At 37.8% G+C, this 16,308-nt stretch overlaps 1 protein-coding gene across 10 annotated transcripts in view, besides 1 other annotated feature; it reads right to left on the minus strand.

Moving 5' to 3' along the window:
• ORC4 (origin recognition complex subunit 4) overlaps positions 1 to 16,308 on the minus strand; it is a 91,156-nt gene that overhangs the window by 64,150 nt on the left and 10,698 nt on the right. The window lies entirely within an intron of this gene.
• Positions 13,399 to 14,598: an enhancer, noted in NCBI's record as "P300/CBP strongly-dependent group 1 enhancer chr2:148765513-148766712 (GRCh37/hg19 assembly coordinates)". NCBI's record gives its function as "activates an origin of replication core promoter dependent on BRD2, BRD4, P300/CBP, MED14 and CDK7 cofactors, with strong dependence on P300/CBP, by STARR-seq in HCT116 cells {active_cell/tissue: HCT116}" and the evidence as "EXISTENCE:reporter gene assay evidence [ECO:0000049][PMID:35650434]".

Here is a 16,308-nt window from a genome sequence, read left to right on the forward strand (position 1 = left end):
CAGCTGGTCTTTTACGAATAAGCAAAGGCAATTCAATGGAGAAAAGAACAATCTTTGCAACAAATGGTAATGGAAAAACTAGACATACACATGCCAAAACATGAATTGACACAGACCTTACAAGTTTCACACACAAAAAATCTAAAAATGGATCACAGACCTAAATATAAAATGCAAAACTATAAAACTCCAAAAATGGCCGAGCACAGTGGCTCACGCCTCTAATCCCAGCACTCTGGGACACCAAGGCAGGTGGATCACCTGAGGTCAGGAGTTCGAAACCAGCCCGACCAACATGGTGAAACCCTGTCTCTACTAAAAATACAAAAATTAGCTGGGCATTGTGGCAGGCTCCTGTAATCCCAGCTACTTGGTGACAGGTGAAGCCAGCTGGACTTCCTGGGTCGAGTGGGGACTTGGACAACTTTTCTGTCTAGCTAGAGGACTGTAAATGCACCAATCAGCACTCAATAAAAAAACGCACCACTCAGCGCTCTGTGGATTAAAGGATTGTAAATGCACCAATCAGCACTCTATAAAAACGCACCAATCAGCGCTCTGTGTCTAAAGGACTGTAAATGCACCAATCAGCACTCTGTAAAAATGCACCACTCAGCATTCTGTGTCTAGCTAAAGGATTGTAAATGCACCAATCAGCACTCTATAAAAACGCACCAATCAGCACTCTGTGTCTAAAGTATTGTAAATGCACCAATCAGCACTCTGGTCTAGCTAAAGGATTGTAAATGCACCAATCAGCACTGTGTAAAAACGCACCACTCAGCGCTCTGTAAAATGGACCAATCAGCAGGATGTGTGTGGGGCCAAATAAGGGAATAAAAGTTGGCATGGACCAATCAGCAGGATGTGCGTGGGGCCAAATAAGGGAATAAAAGCTGGCCACCCGAGTCAGCAGTGGCAACCTGCTGGGGTCCCCTTCCACGCTGTGGAAGCTTTGTTCTTTCGCTCTTCACAATAGATCTTGCTGCTGCTCACTCTTTGGGTCCGCACTGCCTTTATGAGCTGTAACACTCACCAGGAGGGTCTGCGGCTTCATTCCTCAAGTGAGCAAGACACAAACCCACTGGGAGGAACAAACAACTCCAGACGCGCCACCTTTAAGAGCTGTAACACTCACTGCGAAGGTCCGCTGCTTCACTCCCGAAGTTAGCGAGACCACGAACCCAATGGAAGGAAGAAACTCCGGACACATCTGAACATCTGAACAAACAAACTCCAGACACACCATCTTTAAGAGCTTTAACATTCACTGCGAGGGTCTGCGGCTTCATTCTTGAAGTCAGCGAGACGAAGAACCCAATGGAAGGAATAAATTCCAGACACATCGGGAAGCTGAAGCAGGAGAATCGCTTGAACCCAGGAGGCAGAGGTTGCAGTGAGCCGAGATCACGCCATTGCACTCCAGCCTGGGCGACAGAGCAAGACTCCATCTCAAAAAAAAAAAAAACAAAAAACAGGCCAGGTGCGGTGGCTTACGCCTGTAATCCCAGTGCTTTGGGAGGCAGAGGCTGGTGGACCATGAGGTCAAGAGATCCGAGACCATCCTGGCCAATGTGGTGAAACCCCGTCTCTACTAAAAATTCAAAAATTAGCTGGGCATGGTGGTGTGTGCCTGTAGTTCCAGCTACTTGGGAGGCTGAGGCAGGAGAACCACTTGAACCCGGGAGGTGGAAGTTGTAGTGAGCCAAGATTGTGCCACTGCACTCAAGCCTGGTGACAGAGTGAGACTCCATCTCAAAAAACAAACAAACAAACAAACAAAATTCCAAAAATGTAACACAAAAGAAAATCTAGGTGACCTTGGTTATGGCCATGTGTTTTTAGATACAACACCGAAAGTACAATCCATGAAAGAAAATAAAAAATTGATTTAGACTTCATTAAAATTAAAAACTTCTGCTCTACCAAATGGCACTACTAAGAAAATTAAAACACAAAATACACATGGGGATAAAATATGTGAAAAACACTTATTTTGTTACACAAAATATACAAAGAACTCAACAAGGAAATAACCCAGTTTAAAATTGGCATCCAAATAAACATCTCACCAAATAAGATACAGAGGTGGCAAATAAGCATATGAAAAGATGCTCAACATCATATGTCAATAGGGAATTACATAATCAAACAATGAGATACCATTGCACACCTATTACAATGGCTAAATCCAAAACAATGACAATACCAAATACTAGTGAGAAGGTAGAGCAATGGGAACTCTCATTCATGGCTCATGGAAAAGCAAAATGGCACAGACACTTTGGAAAACAGTTTGGCAGCTTCTTATAAAACTAAACATATTTGTTTTACATAATCTAGCAATCATGTACCCTGGTTACACCCAAATGAGTTGAAGACAGGTCCACACAAAGACCTGTACCTTCCTGTTTACAGCAGTTTTATTTATAATTGCCAAAACTTGGAAGTAAGCAAGAGTGTCCTTCAATATGTGAATGGATAAACCAACTGTGGTACATCCATACAATGGAATCTTACTCAGCATGTAAAAGAAATAAAGCCATGAAAAGACATGAAGGAAACTTAGATGTATACTGCTAAGTGAAAGAAGCCAATCTGAAGAGACTACCTACTGTATGTTTCCAACTATATGATATTCTGGAATAGGCAAAACTACAGAAATAGATGTTTTAGTGATCTTTTCACTAAAAGATCAGTGGTTGTCAAGAAAAGAGAAGTATGGAACATGAGATTTTTAGGGCAATTAAATTATTCTGAATGATACTGTAATAATGGATCATTATATATTTATCAAAATCCATAGAATGTACAAAACAAAGAATGAATTTATTCATATGTTTGTCGTTTTTAAAGAAATAAGACATTTCAAGAACATTTATATACCAAAGTAAGAAAATTTTTTATATCTTATCTTTCTTTGTCAACACCAATCATCACACTATTCAAGAGCATAATTCCTAATGGTTGAGAAGAGACTCTTGCAATATAAAGCAAACAAACATATTGTTATTTTGTAAGTATTTAATATAATGAAAACATGTTATCTATGATTATTTCTTCTCAAAGTACATGACAAAGCTCTATGATCTCATGCTGCCATTAAATGTATAAAAACATAGCTTAAAAAGACTAATATTACACATATTAGCATCTTGGAATTATTTCTGGGTGCAAAGGTTATAGGTAATTTTCATTTTTTAATCACTTTTATACTGAATGTATATTATGTTTGTAACTTTAAAAATTTTCTTGCACATTTAAATCAAATCTTGTACTTTACAATTTGAATATATAAATTTCTAAGTGTAAATTATGATGCTAAAATTCTATTTTAACTTTTAAACATGTTACAAACATAAAATGTGTTTTAACATAAAATTTTAAAAACATGATGCTCACCAGATATTGCAGCAGTGTTGGTATAACATGCTGGACATAATTAAAAAAACACCAAAGTCTAATGGATATTAGCTGAAACCCAGCTTTTTAGGGAAAATAGTTTTGGTATTTACTCATTATAAAGTAAGTTGACTGAGACATAAACAAACCATACAAGTGGTCATATTAAGAGTGCATTTAAGACTGACATGTCTGGGTTATCTGTATTAGATATTTTTGTAAACAATACAAAAAAGAAACAAAGGAGAAAGTGAAAATGTGCAAGTGAAAAGCCAACAGATCAGAACTTAATTCTTGAAAAAGTCTGACCTCACTTTGGTCATGCTATAATTTGGATTTGGTTTCTTTATCACCACCAAAGCTAATGTGGAAATTTGAACCCCAGCGTGGCAATATTGAAAGGTGAGGCCTAGAGGGAGGTGTCTGGGTTCTACGGGTAGATGCCTCATAAATGGCTCAGTGCTATTCTGGAGTTAGTGTGTTCTGGCTCTCATGAGACTGGATTAGTTCTCTGGCGAATGGCTTAGTTCCTTCCCACAAGAGTGGGTTGTTATAAGGCCACTATGCACTCCTCAGATTTTCCTCTCTTTGAATGTTTCTTTTTCTCCTTTGACCTTGTCCACCGTGTTGTGAAGTATGAAAGATCTTGCCAGAAGCCAGGTCTATGCTCTTGAACTTCTCAGTCTGCAGAACTGTGAGCTATAAAACCTCATATCTTTATAAATTACCCAGTCTTAGGTATTCTTTTATAGCAATACAAAACAGACTAAGGCAGGTCAAAATTTCACACTATTCTCAATTCCCCTATTAATCAAAAAAGTAGTATAGGACTAAGAATTTGTTATGTTTTATTGGAGGTGAGGAGAGATATGGGAGAATATAAGATAAAGGTTAAAAAGAGATTAGGAAAAGGTAGCAACCCCAAAGCATGTTTAAGATCAGTGCTTTGAGCAAGATCAGGAATGAAAAGAGAGAATAAAACAGAAATGAAAGGATGGGAACAGCTGTCAATTCCAGGTTTCATCTACCTTTTGGTTTATAATCTTCAACTCATGTCTTATTTTTCTACTTATGCATTTAGTAAAATATACAAAGCCATCCAGTCTCGTCAGCTAATACTCTAAATAATATAAACATACAACAAGTTCACTAAATAACTGGTCTTTTAATTTGGGCTAGAATTCAATGAGAAAACCATTTCTAAAAGACTTGCAGTGCTAACATGGCTCAAATTAAACAGAAGCCTCTAACCCACTTCATCAGAGGCCATGAGGCTTATTTTCTACACAGGGTAAGACAGAAGAAATCTACCCTGAGGACACAAGACACAGCAGAAGGTGAGGGTATCAGACAAAAAGGTTTTGAGGGGGAGGAGAGGATTAAGAGAGTGTTTATATATTGAACGTTGAGGCCCCCTAGCTCTCTTCTTTCACATAGTTCTCATACTACTGGCAATCAGACTTATACCCTAAAGCAGGGTTTCTCAGGATAACATTTTAAACTTGATTGTTCTTCGTTGTTGGAGCTGTCCTATGCACTGTAGGATGTAACAAGACCCCCAGATTCTATGCATCAGTTTTCAGGAGCAACCTATCTGTGGCAATCAAATAAGTCTCTAGACACTGCTAAATTTCTCTTAGGGGGCCAAATTGTCCCACTTGAGAATCACTGACCTAAAGGCAGAAGCTTGGAGAACTCTTCTTATTAGACTCTTATTAACCCTAGAAAAAAGGTTTCCAAACTTAAAGATAATGACACCAGGGGTTTCCACCCACAAAATGCCCAGCCATATTCACAGAGCTCTAAAATAGCTTTCTAATGAATCTAACATAAATTTGAACATGCAATCAATGATTGCTACATAGCTGAGGAAAGCCTCGATTAAAAAGATGAAAACATATTAACAGAAAGAATAATTTGGAAAAAGTAGAGAAAGCAGGAAGCAATAAATTTCAAAACCAAACAATAATTTTAATTCATAAAAAGAAAACATAACAGGATATAATAAGAAAATTATACAGAGATCAAAAAAGGCCTTGGAAATTAAAAGTATGATAGCAGAAATCAAAGTCTCAAAAGTTTGAAAAAGGTAAATTTTCCAGAAAGTATGAAGAAAAAAAAAACATAAAAAATGACAGAAAAAAAATAGGTCCAGGAGGTAGAATGTTTAATTAGAGTTCCAGAACCAAAAACAAAGGCAAGAAAATTAAAGAAAAAACATGAGGAATTTTCCCAGAGTTGATGGACACAAATTGTCAGACTGAAAGGACCCATAAAATGCATGGCAAAATGAAAGACTATAGACTCATAATAAGTAACATGGCTGTGACATTTCAGAACTCTAGATACAACAAAGAGAAACATTTGATAAGTTTCAAAATGAGATCGTATAATCTTCCACAGAGGAGACAAAAGTGATCTGAAGAGTGATGGAAGTAAGAAGGGCTTCTAATTTTACAACAGATGCTATGAATTCCTTCAAAGCTCTTAAGAACAATTTCACCTTTATAATTTGAAAGCCAGCTAAACTAATAGTTGGGGTAAAATAAAGACACTTATATAAATATAATACCACAGAACACTTGCCTTTCAGAAAGCTACTAGAAAATGGAATAAACCAAGAGAATACACAAGCCAAAGGATTACATAGGATATAGGAAACAGAGGAACTAGCATAGGATAGAGACTGCACCAGCAGCAACTATATCAAGCAATGGGCTAAAACTGCAGCACATAAGAATGCTCTGGGAGAAATTTCTTGATGATGGATAAACTGATAAAAATACTTGATACCTCTGAATATATGGAAAGGCTGTTTTGACAACCAGCAGATAGTTTGGGTCTAAATGACTAATAAATATTTAGAACTATACAAATGCTCAATGGTCGTATATGAAAAATTAAACTATCAATGGGAAGATGGGGGGAATGGATGGGATGTTTGTGGAAAAAGGCTAAATCTACATCACCTATAGTAAGTCAAGAGATAATGCCTAAAACTGAAAAAACAGGAGGTAGCAATATAAAATGTTATTTAGAGATACAGAAGTATATACCAAAAGAATAAGCCAAAAAAAGTTTTAGAAGTATTTCCCTCTATTTGGGGAAAACTGGGGTAGTGACAGCTACCTTGTCCAACATCACAGCCTTCCTGGGATTAAGCAAATAAGGCGATAAAGGCCCAATCATTTCGTTGCACCATGGTATCAATCTGAAGGAAAATATTCTGGAGAACCTAACCTGTGACAAAGAAGTAAGAACTGTTTTTAATCATAAGCTATGGAGAAGCAGTTAAAAACTTAAGCATGTGTTCTTTTACCTTTGCAACAGTTAAAAGAAAAAGAGAAAGAGAAGAAACAGGCTGCTTAAATATATTTTCTAATTTCATTAACTTGGCTTCTTATACTGCAGAGCCGAATGTTATTTTAGAAATTTAAAGCCCATCAGACTAACAACGGATCTCTCTGCAGGAGCCCTATAAGCCAGAAGAGAGTAGGGGCCAATAGTCAACATTCTTAAAGAAAAGAATTTTCAACACAGAATTTCATATCCAGCCAAACTAAGCTTCATAAGTGAAGGATAAATAAAATCCTTTATAGACAAGCAAATGCTGACAGATTTTGTCACCACCAGGCCTGCCTTACAAGAGCTCCTGAAGGAAGCACTAAATATGTAAAGGAAAAACTGGTAACAGCCACTGGAAAAACATACCAAATTGTAAAGACCATTGACACTATGAAGAAACTACATCAACTAACGGGCAAAATAACCAGCTAGCATCATAATGATAGTACCAAATTCACACATAACAATATTAACCTTAAATGTAAATGGGCTAACTGGCCCAATTAAAAGACACAGACTGGCAAATTGGATAAAGAGTCAAGACCCATCGGTGTGCTATATTCAAGAGACCCACCTCACTTGCAAAGACACACAAAGGTTCAAAATAAAGGGATGGAGGAATATTTACCAAGCAAATGGAAAGCAAAAAAGAGCAGGGGTTGCAATCCTAGTCTCTGATAAAACAGACTTTAAACCAACAAAGATAAAAAAAGACAAAGAAGGACATTACATAATGACAAAGTTATCAATGCAAAAAGAAGTGCTAACTATCCTAAATATATATGCACCCAATAAGGGAGCACCCAGATTCATAAAGCAAGTTCTTAGAGACCTACAAAGAGACTTAGACCCCCCCACAACAATAGCAGTGGGAGACTTTAACACCCCACTGTCAATATTAGACAGATCAACAAGACAGAAAATTAACAAGGACACTCAGGACTTGAACTCAGCTATGGACCAAGTGGACCTAATAGACATCTACAGAACTCTCCACCCCAAATCAACAGAATATACATTCTTCTCAGCACCACATCGCACTTATTCTAAAATTGACCACATAATTGGAAGTAAAACACTCCTCAACAAAGGCAAAAGAATGAAGTCATAACAAACAGTCTCCCAGACCATAGTGCAATCAAATTAGAACTCAGGATTAAGAAACTCACTCAAAACTGCACAACTATGTGGAAACTGAACAACCTGCTCCTGAATGAATACTGGGTAAATAACAAAATTAAGGCAGAAATAAATACATTCTTTAAAACCAATGAGAACAAAGACACAATGTACCAGAATCTCTGAGACACAGCTAAAGCAGTGTGTAGAGGGAAATTTATAGCACTAAATGCCCACAGAAGAAAGCAGAAAAGATCTAAAACCAACACCCTTACATCACAATTAAAAAAACTAGAGAAGCAAGAGCAAACAAATTCAAAAGCCAGCAGAAGACAAGAAATAACTAAGACCAGAGCAGAACTGAAGGAGATAGAGACACAAAAACCCCCTCAAAAAAATAAATGAATCCAGGAGCTGCTTTTTTGAAAACTTTAACAAAATAGGTAGACCGCTAGCCAGACTAATAAAGAAAAGAGAGAAGAATCAAATAGACACAATAAAAAATGATAAAGGGGATATCACCACTGATCCCACAGAAATACAAACTACCATCAGAGAATACTATAAACACTTCTACACAAATAAACTAGAAAATCTAGAAGAAATGGATGAATTCCTGGACACAGACACCATCCCAAGACTAAACCAGGAAGAAGTCGAATCCCTAAATAGACCAATAGCAAGTTCTGAAATTGAGGCAGTAATTAATAGCCTACCAACCAAAAAAAAGCCCAGGACCAGATGGATTCACAGACAAATTCTACCAGAGGTACAAAGCGGAGCTGGTACCATTCCTTCTGAAACTATTCCAAATAAAAGAAAAAGAGGGACTCCTCTCTAACTCATTTTATGAGTCCAGCATCATCCTGATACCAAAATCTGGCAGAGACACAACAAAAAAAGAAAATTCCAGGCCAATATCCCTGATGAACATCAATGCAAAAATCCTCAATAAAATGCTGGCAAACTGAATCCAGCAGCACATCAAAAAGTTTATCCACCATGATCAAGTTGGCTTCATCCCTGGGATGCAAGGCTGGTTCAACATATGCAAATCAATAAATGTAATCCATCACATAAACAGAACCAATGAGAAAAACCACGATTATCTCAATAGATGTAGAAAACGCCTTCGACAAAATTCAACACCCCTTCATGCTAAAAACTCTCAATAAACTAAGAATCGATAGAACGTATCTCAAAATAATAAGAGCTATTTATGACAAACCCACGGCCAATATCACACTGAATGGGCAAAAACAGGAAGCATTCCCTTTGAAAACCGGCACAAGAAAAGGATGCCCTCTCTCACCACTCCTATTCAACATAGTATTGGAAGTTCTGGCCAGGGCAATCAGGCAAGAGAAAGAAATAAAAGGTATTTGAATAGGAAGAGAGGAAGTCAAATTGTCTGTTTGCAGATGACATGATTGTATATTTAGAAAACCCTGTTGTCTCAGCCCAAAATCTCCTTGAGCTGATAAGCAATTTCAGCAAAGTGTCAGGATACAAAATCAATGTGCAAAAATAACAAGCATTCCTATATACCAATAATAGACAAACAGAGAGCCAAGTCATGAGTGAACTCCCATTCGCAATTCCTACAAAGAGAATAAAATACATAGGAATACAACTTATAAGGGATGTGAAGGACCGCTTCAAGGAGAACTACAAACCACTGCTCAAGGAAATAAGAGAGGACACAAACAAATGGAAAAACATTCCATGCGCATGGATAGGAAGGATCAATATCATGAAAATGGCCACACCGCCCAAAGTAATTTATAGATTCAATGCTAAACCCATCAAGCTACCACTGACTTTCTTCACAGAATTAGAAAAAAAACTACTTTAAATTTCATATGGAACCAAAAAAGAGCCCGCATAAGCCAAGACAATGCTAAGCAAAGAGAACAAAGCTGGAGGCATCACGCTACCTGACTTCAAACTATACTATAAGGCTACAGTAACCAAAGCAGCATAGTACTGGTACCAAAACAGATATACAGACCAATGGAACAGAACAGAGTCCTCAGAAATAACACCATACATCAACAACAACCATCTGATCTTTGAAAAACCTGATGACAACAAGCAATTGGGAAAGGATTCCCTCCCTATTTAATAAATGGTGTTGGGAAAACTGGCTAGCCATATGGAGAAAACTGAAACTGGCCCCCCCTTCCTTACACCTTATACAAAAATGGATTAAAGACTAAAACATAAGACCTAAAACCATAAAAACTCTATAAGAAAACCTAGGCAATATCATTCAGGACATAGGCATGGGCAAAAATTTCATGACTAAAACACCAAAAGCAATGGCAACAAAAGGATACGAACAGACACTTCTCAAGAGAAGACATTTATGTGGCCAACAAACATGTGAAAAAAAGCTTATCATTACTGGTCATGACAGAAAAGGAAATCAAAACCACAATGAGATACCATCTCATGCCAGCTGGAATGGTGATCATTAAAAAGTCAGGAAACAACAGATACTGGAGAGGATGTGGAAAAACAGGAACGCTTTTACACTGTTGGTGGGAACATAAATTAGTTAAACCATTGTGGAAGACAATGTGGCGATTCCTCAAGGATCTAGAACCAGAAATACCATTTGACCCAGCAATCCCATTACTGGGTATATACCCAAAGGATTATAAATCATTCTACTATAAAGACACATGCATACGTATGTTTATTGCAGCACTGTTCACAATAGCAAAGACTTGGAACCAATCCAAATGTCCTTCAATGATAGACCAGATAAAGAAAATGTGGCACATATACGCCATGGAATACTATGAAGCCATAAAAAAGGATGAGTTCATGTCCTTTGCAGGGACACGGATGAAGCTGGAAACCATTATTCTCAGCAAACTAATACAGGAACAGAAAACCAAACAACGCATGTTCCCATAAGTGGGAGCTGAACAATGAGAACACATGGACACAGGGAGGGCAACATCACACACTGGGGCCTGCTGGGGGATGGGGGGGCTAAGGGAGGGATAGCATTAGGAAAAATACCTAATGTAGATGACAGGTTAATGACACGTGTATACCTATGTAACAAACCTACATGTTCTGCACATGTATCCCAGAACTTAAATTATAATAAAAAAGAAAAATTTAAAATAGACATTGTTTTTCCTTGCAGAGGAGGCAGAACAAGATTGCTGAAGAGAATCCCCCAGGAATCATCCCGTAGCAGGAACACCAAACTGAACAACTATCCATGCAAAAAAAAAAAAAAAAAAAAAAAACAACCTTCATAAGAATCAGCTGGCACAGTGGTACATGCCCATAATCTCAGCACTTTGGAAGGTCAAGGCGAGTGGATCATTTGATCTCAGTTCAAGACCAGTCTGGGCAACCTGATGAAACCCTGTCTTTACAAAATATGAAAAAATTAGCTGGGCATGGTGGCATGTGCCTGTAGTGCCAGCTACTCGGGAGGCTGAGGTGGGAGGATCACTTCAGCCCAGGAGGTCAATTGAGGCTGGAATGAGTTGAGATCACGCCATGCACTCCAGCCTGGGTGACAGAGTGAGACCCTGCCTCAAAACAAACAAATAAACACACTAACAAACAAACAAAAAATCCAAAATCAGGTGAGTAATCACGGCACCTGGTTTTAACATAATATCAAGGAAAGAAGCATCGAAGAGGGTAGGAAAGACAGTCTTGCGCTGACTACACCAACCCTCCTCCAACCCCAGGCAGCACAGCACTGAGATAGAATCTGTGTGCTTGGGAGAGAGAGCGAAAGTAAGTATGGGACTTTGCGCTGGAACTCAGTGCTGCTCTGTAACAGCAGAACACAACACAGGGCATTCTGCTGGTGCCCACAGAAGGAGCATTTAGCTTAGTCCTGGGCCAGAGAGAAATCCTCCCCCCAAGGAGAGTAATTGGTTTTCATCACATTCTGACTAAAGTAGTCTAGGGCCCGGAATAAATTGGAGTGACAGGCCACAAGGACTGCATCCTTTGGCAAGCCTTGGTACTGCACTGGCCTTGGAGGTAATGGACTTAAGATAAAACCCAGTGCAATACCACCCGTGGCAGCTAAGGGAATCCCTGAGGCACCCCTCCCCAACTACTTCAGCTTGGGGTAAGGAAAAGGAAGAGTAGACAGAACTTTGTTTTGCAACCGGAGTATTGGTTCAGTCACAGTAAAATAAAGCAAAAGACAGATTTCTGAAGCTTTTGATAGCAAGCTTTTGCTCCGGGATGGCATTTATAGATTGACCCTAGGCAGGAAGGGAATGGCTGCCATGATGGGATGGACTCAGTCTTGGCAGAATTCACCACCTGCTAACTAAAGTGGCCTTTGGCCTTGAATAACCAGTGGCAGTCACGCAGGACTGGCCGTGGACCTTGGGTGAGCCCCAATACTGTGCTGGTCTGCAATGCTTCAGAGGCAACTCAGCATAGTTCCAACTGTGGTGGCTACAGGAATGCCTGTATCACCCCCCACCAACACTGGGCAGGCCAGTACAGAGAAAGACTCCTGATTGAAGGAAAGGGAAGGTAGAGAGCAAGAGACTCTGCCTGGTAACCCAGGGAATTCTCCCAATTATCTTCCCAAGTCCATCAGGACTGTGTATGTAGGAGTCTGCAAGACTCACAGCGTTCCTGTGCTTTGGATGCTCCTTAATGCCAAAATGGCTGCAGTGACTACAGGCTTAGGTCACAACACTCAATCTGCTTTGATTTCCTGGAAAGCCCCCTGGAGAGTGACAGGAATGAACAAACCCAAACTGTGAAGACTAGCTCTTCGATGCCTAGACATCAATGAATATCCACAATTATCAAGAACATCTAGGAAAACAGGACCTCACCAAACAGACTAATCCTGGAGCAATAAAGATACGTGACCTTTTAGATGGGAAATTCAAAATAGCGGTCTTGAGAAAGCTCAATTTAATTCAAGATAAAAGAGATAAAAAATTCAGAATTATATCAGAGAAACTTAACAAAGAGACTAAAATGATGAACAAGCAGAAATTCTGAAGCTCGAAAATTCAACAAGCTGAAAATGCATCAGTCTCAACAGCAGAAGAATAAATTAGTGAGCTTGAAGACAGGTTTATGAAAATACAGTCAGAAGAGAAAAAATAATAAAACAATAATGAAGTATGCCTACAAAATCTGGAAAATAGCCCCCAAAAGTCATAATCTAAGAGTTACTGGCCTTAAAGAGGGCTTACAGAAAGAGATTGAGGTAGAAAGTGTTTTCAAAGAAATAATAGCAGAGTACTTTTCAAACTGAGAGAAAGATATGAATATACAGGTACAAGAAGGTCAAAGAACACCAAATAGATTCAACCCAAATAAGATTACCTTAAGGCATATAATAATTAAAGTCTCAAAAGTAAAGGACAAAGAAAGGATCCTAAAAGCGGCAAAAGAAAAGAAGTAACTTCATATGAAGGAGTTATACTACATCTGGCAGCAAACTTCAGCAGAAACGCTACAGGCCAGAAGAGAGTAGGATGACAAACTTTAGCAGAAACCCTGGCAGGCCAGAAGAGAGTAGAATAGTATTAGGTTGGTGCACAAGTAACCACGGTTTTTGTAATTACTTTTAATGGCAAAAACCACGTTAACTTTTGCACCAATCTAATACATCCACCGAAATTATCCTTGAAACAGGGAGACATGAAGACTCTCCTAGACTAATAAAAGCTGAGGGATTTCATCAACACCAGACTCATCTTTCAGAAAATGCTAAAGGGAAGTTCTTCAATCTGAAAGAAAAGGACATTAACAAGCAACAAGAAATCATCTGAAGGTATAAAACTCACTGGTGAAAGTAAGTGCACAGATAAATACAGAATACTCTAACCGCTCATATCTTTAGCAGGAAGATTAAAAGACAAACCTATATTGTTAGAAGAGTTCTAAACTCTACCTTATCTAGAGAACCTTCTTCTTTTAGAAAATCAAGCAAAACAACTAAGCCAAGACATGTTAAGAAAAGTTTGAAAAGAAAGCTGTAAGGAAATACAAGGGGAGGGATTGTTAGATATGAGTTCTAAATTTCTTTTCAAAGAATTAGTGTGTCAGTATGTTCAATTCTTTGCCTTCTAGTTTTAAACTTAACTTCCTCGTAAAGCAACCTTTTTCGATTACCTACTCCACCCTGACTCATTCTGATCATCTGCTCCACCCAACATTCCAATCACCTGCTCCACCCTAACTCATTCCAATTACCTGCTACCTGCTCTGCCCTGACTCCCGCCAAAGCATTCACCCTGTCATTCTCTTTAAATTAGCCAATTGGAATTAGTTTAGCCCGTGCGGTCTAACCCCAGCCAATAGGGGAACGACAGAGCAGCAGGGGCCACATACGTCAGGGATTAGAACCCCTTCCCATCCCTTGTCCAAATGTGCGCTCACCATTGTTCCATCTGTAAGGGTGCACCCTTCTATATAGAAGTAGCTTGCCTTGCTGAATATTAAAAAGAAAATTTTGTATTCGAGTGCTATTTCTTTTGCAGCATCGAAACTTTCTATATAACACTATCAAAAAAAAACTACTCCAAAACTTAAAATATAAAAATATATAGAGACAAAAAGTCAAAAAGTGAAGGGATGGAGTAGAAGTGTACAGGTTTTTAGTTTTTTCTGTGCGTGTATTTTTTCTTTTCTTTGCAATCAGAGTTGTCATCAGTTGCAAATAATTGGCTATAAATTGTTATTTGCTAACCTCATAGTAACCACAAAACAAAAACCTCTAATAGGTGCACAAAAAAATAAAAAGCAAGAAATTAAAACATACTACCAAAAAATAATTATCACAAAGGAAAACAAGGAAAAAAATGGGGGAAAAGCCCTAGAAAATAACCAGAACAACAATAAAAAGGCAGTAGTAAGTCCTTACCTATCAATAATAATACTGAATGTGAATGGACTAAATTCTTCACTATAAAAACATAGACTAACAACAAAAAGACGGAAAAAGATACTGCACCAAACAGAAACCCAAAAAGAGCCCAAGTAGCTTTGTATCTATTTTTAGATAAAATAGATTTCAACATAAAAACTATGAAGAAAGAAAAAAAGGTTATCATATAATACAAAAGGTTTTAATTCAGCAAGAGGACATAAAAATTATAAATACATATCTATCCAACACAGAAGCATCTAGATATATAGAGTCAAGTGTATTAGAGTTAAGGAGACAGAACCCAATACAGTAATGACTTGGGACTTCAACAGCCCACTTTCACCATTGGACAGATCATCTAGACAGAAAGAAACAATGAATTTAATCTGCACTATAGATTAAATGGACCTAATAGACATTTACAGAAGCTGTCATCCAACAGCCGCAGAATACATTCTTCTCCTTAGCACATGGAACATTTCTCAAGGATGGATCCTAAATTCTCCAATCAAAAGACACAGAAGAGCTGAAGGGCTAAACAAAACAAGGCCCTACTACCTGCTACATATAAGAAACCCACTTCATTTATAAAAACATAGATAGACCAAAAGATGGAAAGAGACATTGCATGCAAACAGAAATCCAAAAAGAGCACCATCATGTTAGGCCGCAAAACAAGTCTGATAAAAAGTATATTTTCTAACCACAATGGAATAAAAGTAGAAATAAATAACAAGTGGAACTTTGGAAACTATACAAACATATAAGAATTAAACAATACGTGCCTGAACAACCAATGAAGTAATTAAGGAAATTAAAAAATGTCTTGAAACAAATGAAAATGGAAACACAACCTACTAAAACTTATGAGATACAGTTAAAGCTAACACTAAAGGGAATGTTTATAGCAATAAATGTGCAAATCAAAAAGTAGAAAACCAAGAAATAAACAACCTAGTAATGCATCTTAAAGAACTAGAAAAGCAAGAGCATGCCAAGCCCCAAATTAAGAAGAGAAATAATAAAGAAAACAAGAAAATAAATAATAAAAAACAGAAATAAAATTGAGACAAAAAAATAGAAAAGATCAATGAAATGAAAAGGGTTGTTTGGAAAGACAGACAAAATCAATGAACCTTTACCCAGACTAAGAAAAGAAAAAAAAGAAGATCCAAATAAAATCAGAGACAAAAAAGGAGACATTACAATTGATATCACAAAAATTCAAAGGATCATTGGAGACCATTTGAACAACTGCATGCCAATAAATTGTAAAACCTAGAAGAAACGAATAAATTCCTAGGCACATACAGCCTAAGAAGAATGAAACATTAAGAAAACCAAAATCGAAATAGACCCATAATAAGTTTCAAGATAGAAACAATAATAAAAAGTCCCCCATCACAGAAAAGGCCAGGACTTCATGGCTTCACTGAGTTCTACCAAACATTTAAAGAAGAACTAACATCAATCCTACTCAAATCATTCTCCAAAATCAAGGAGGATCTCCAAATTCATTTTATGAGGCCAGATTTATTCTTTTT

Source organism: Homo sapiens, chromosome 2 (genome assembly GCF_000001405.40).
Source record: "Homo sapiens chromosome 2, GRCh38.p14 Primary Assembly".
NCBI lineage: Eukaryota > Metazoa > Chordata > Mammalia > Primates > Hominidae > Homo > Homo sapiens.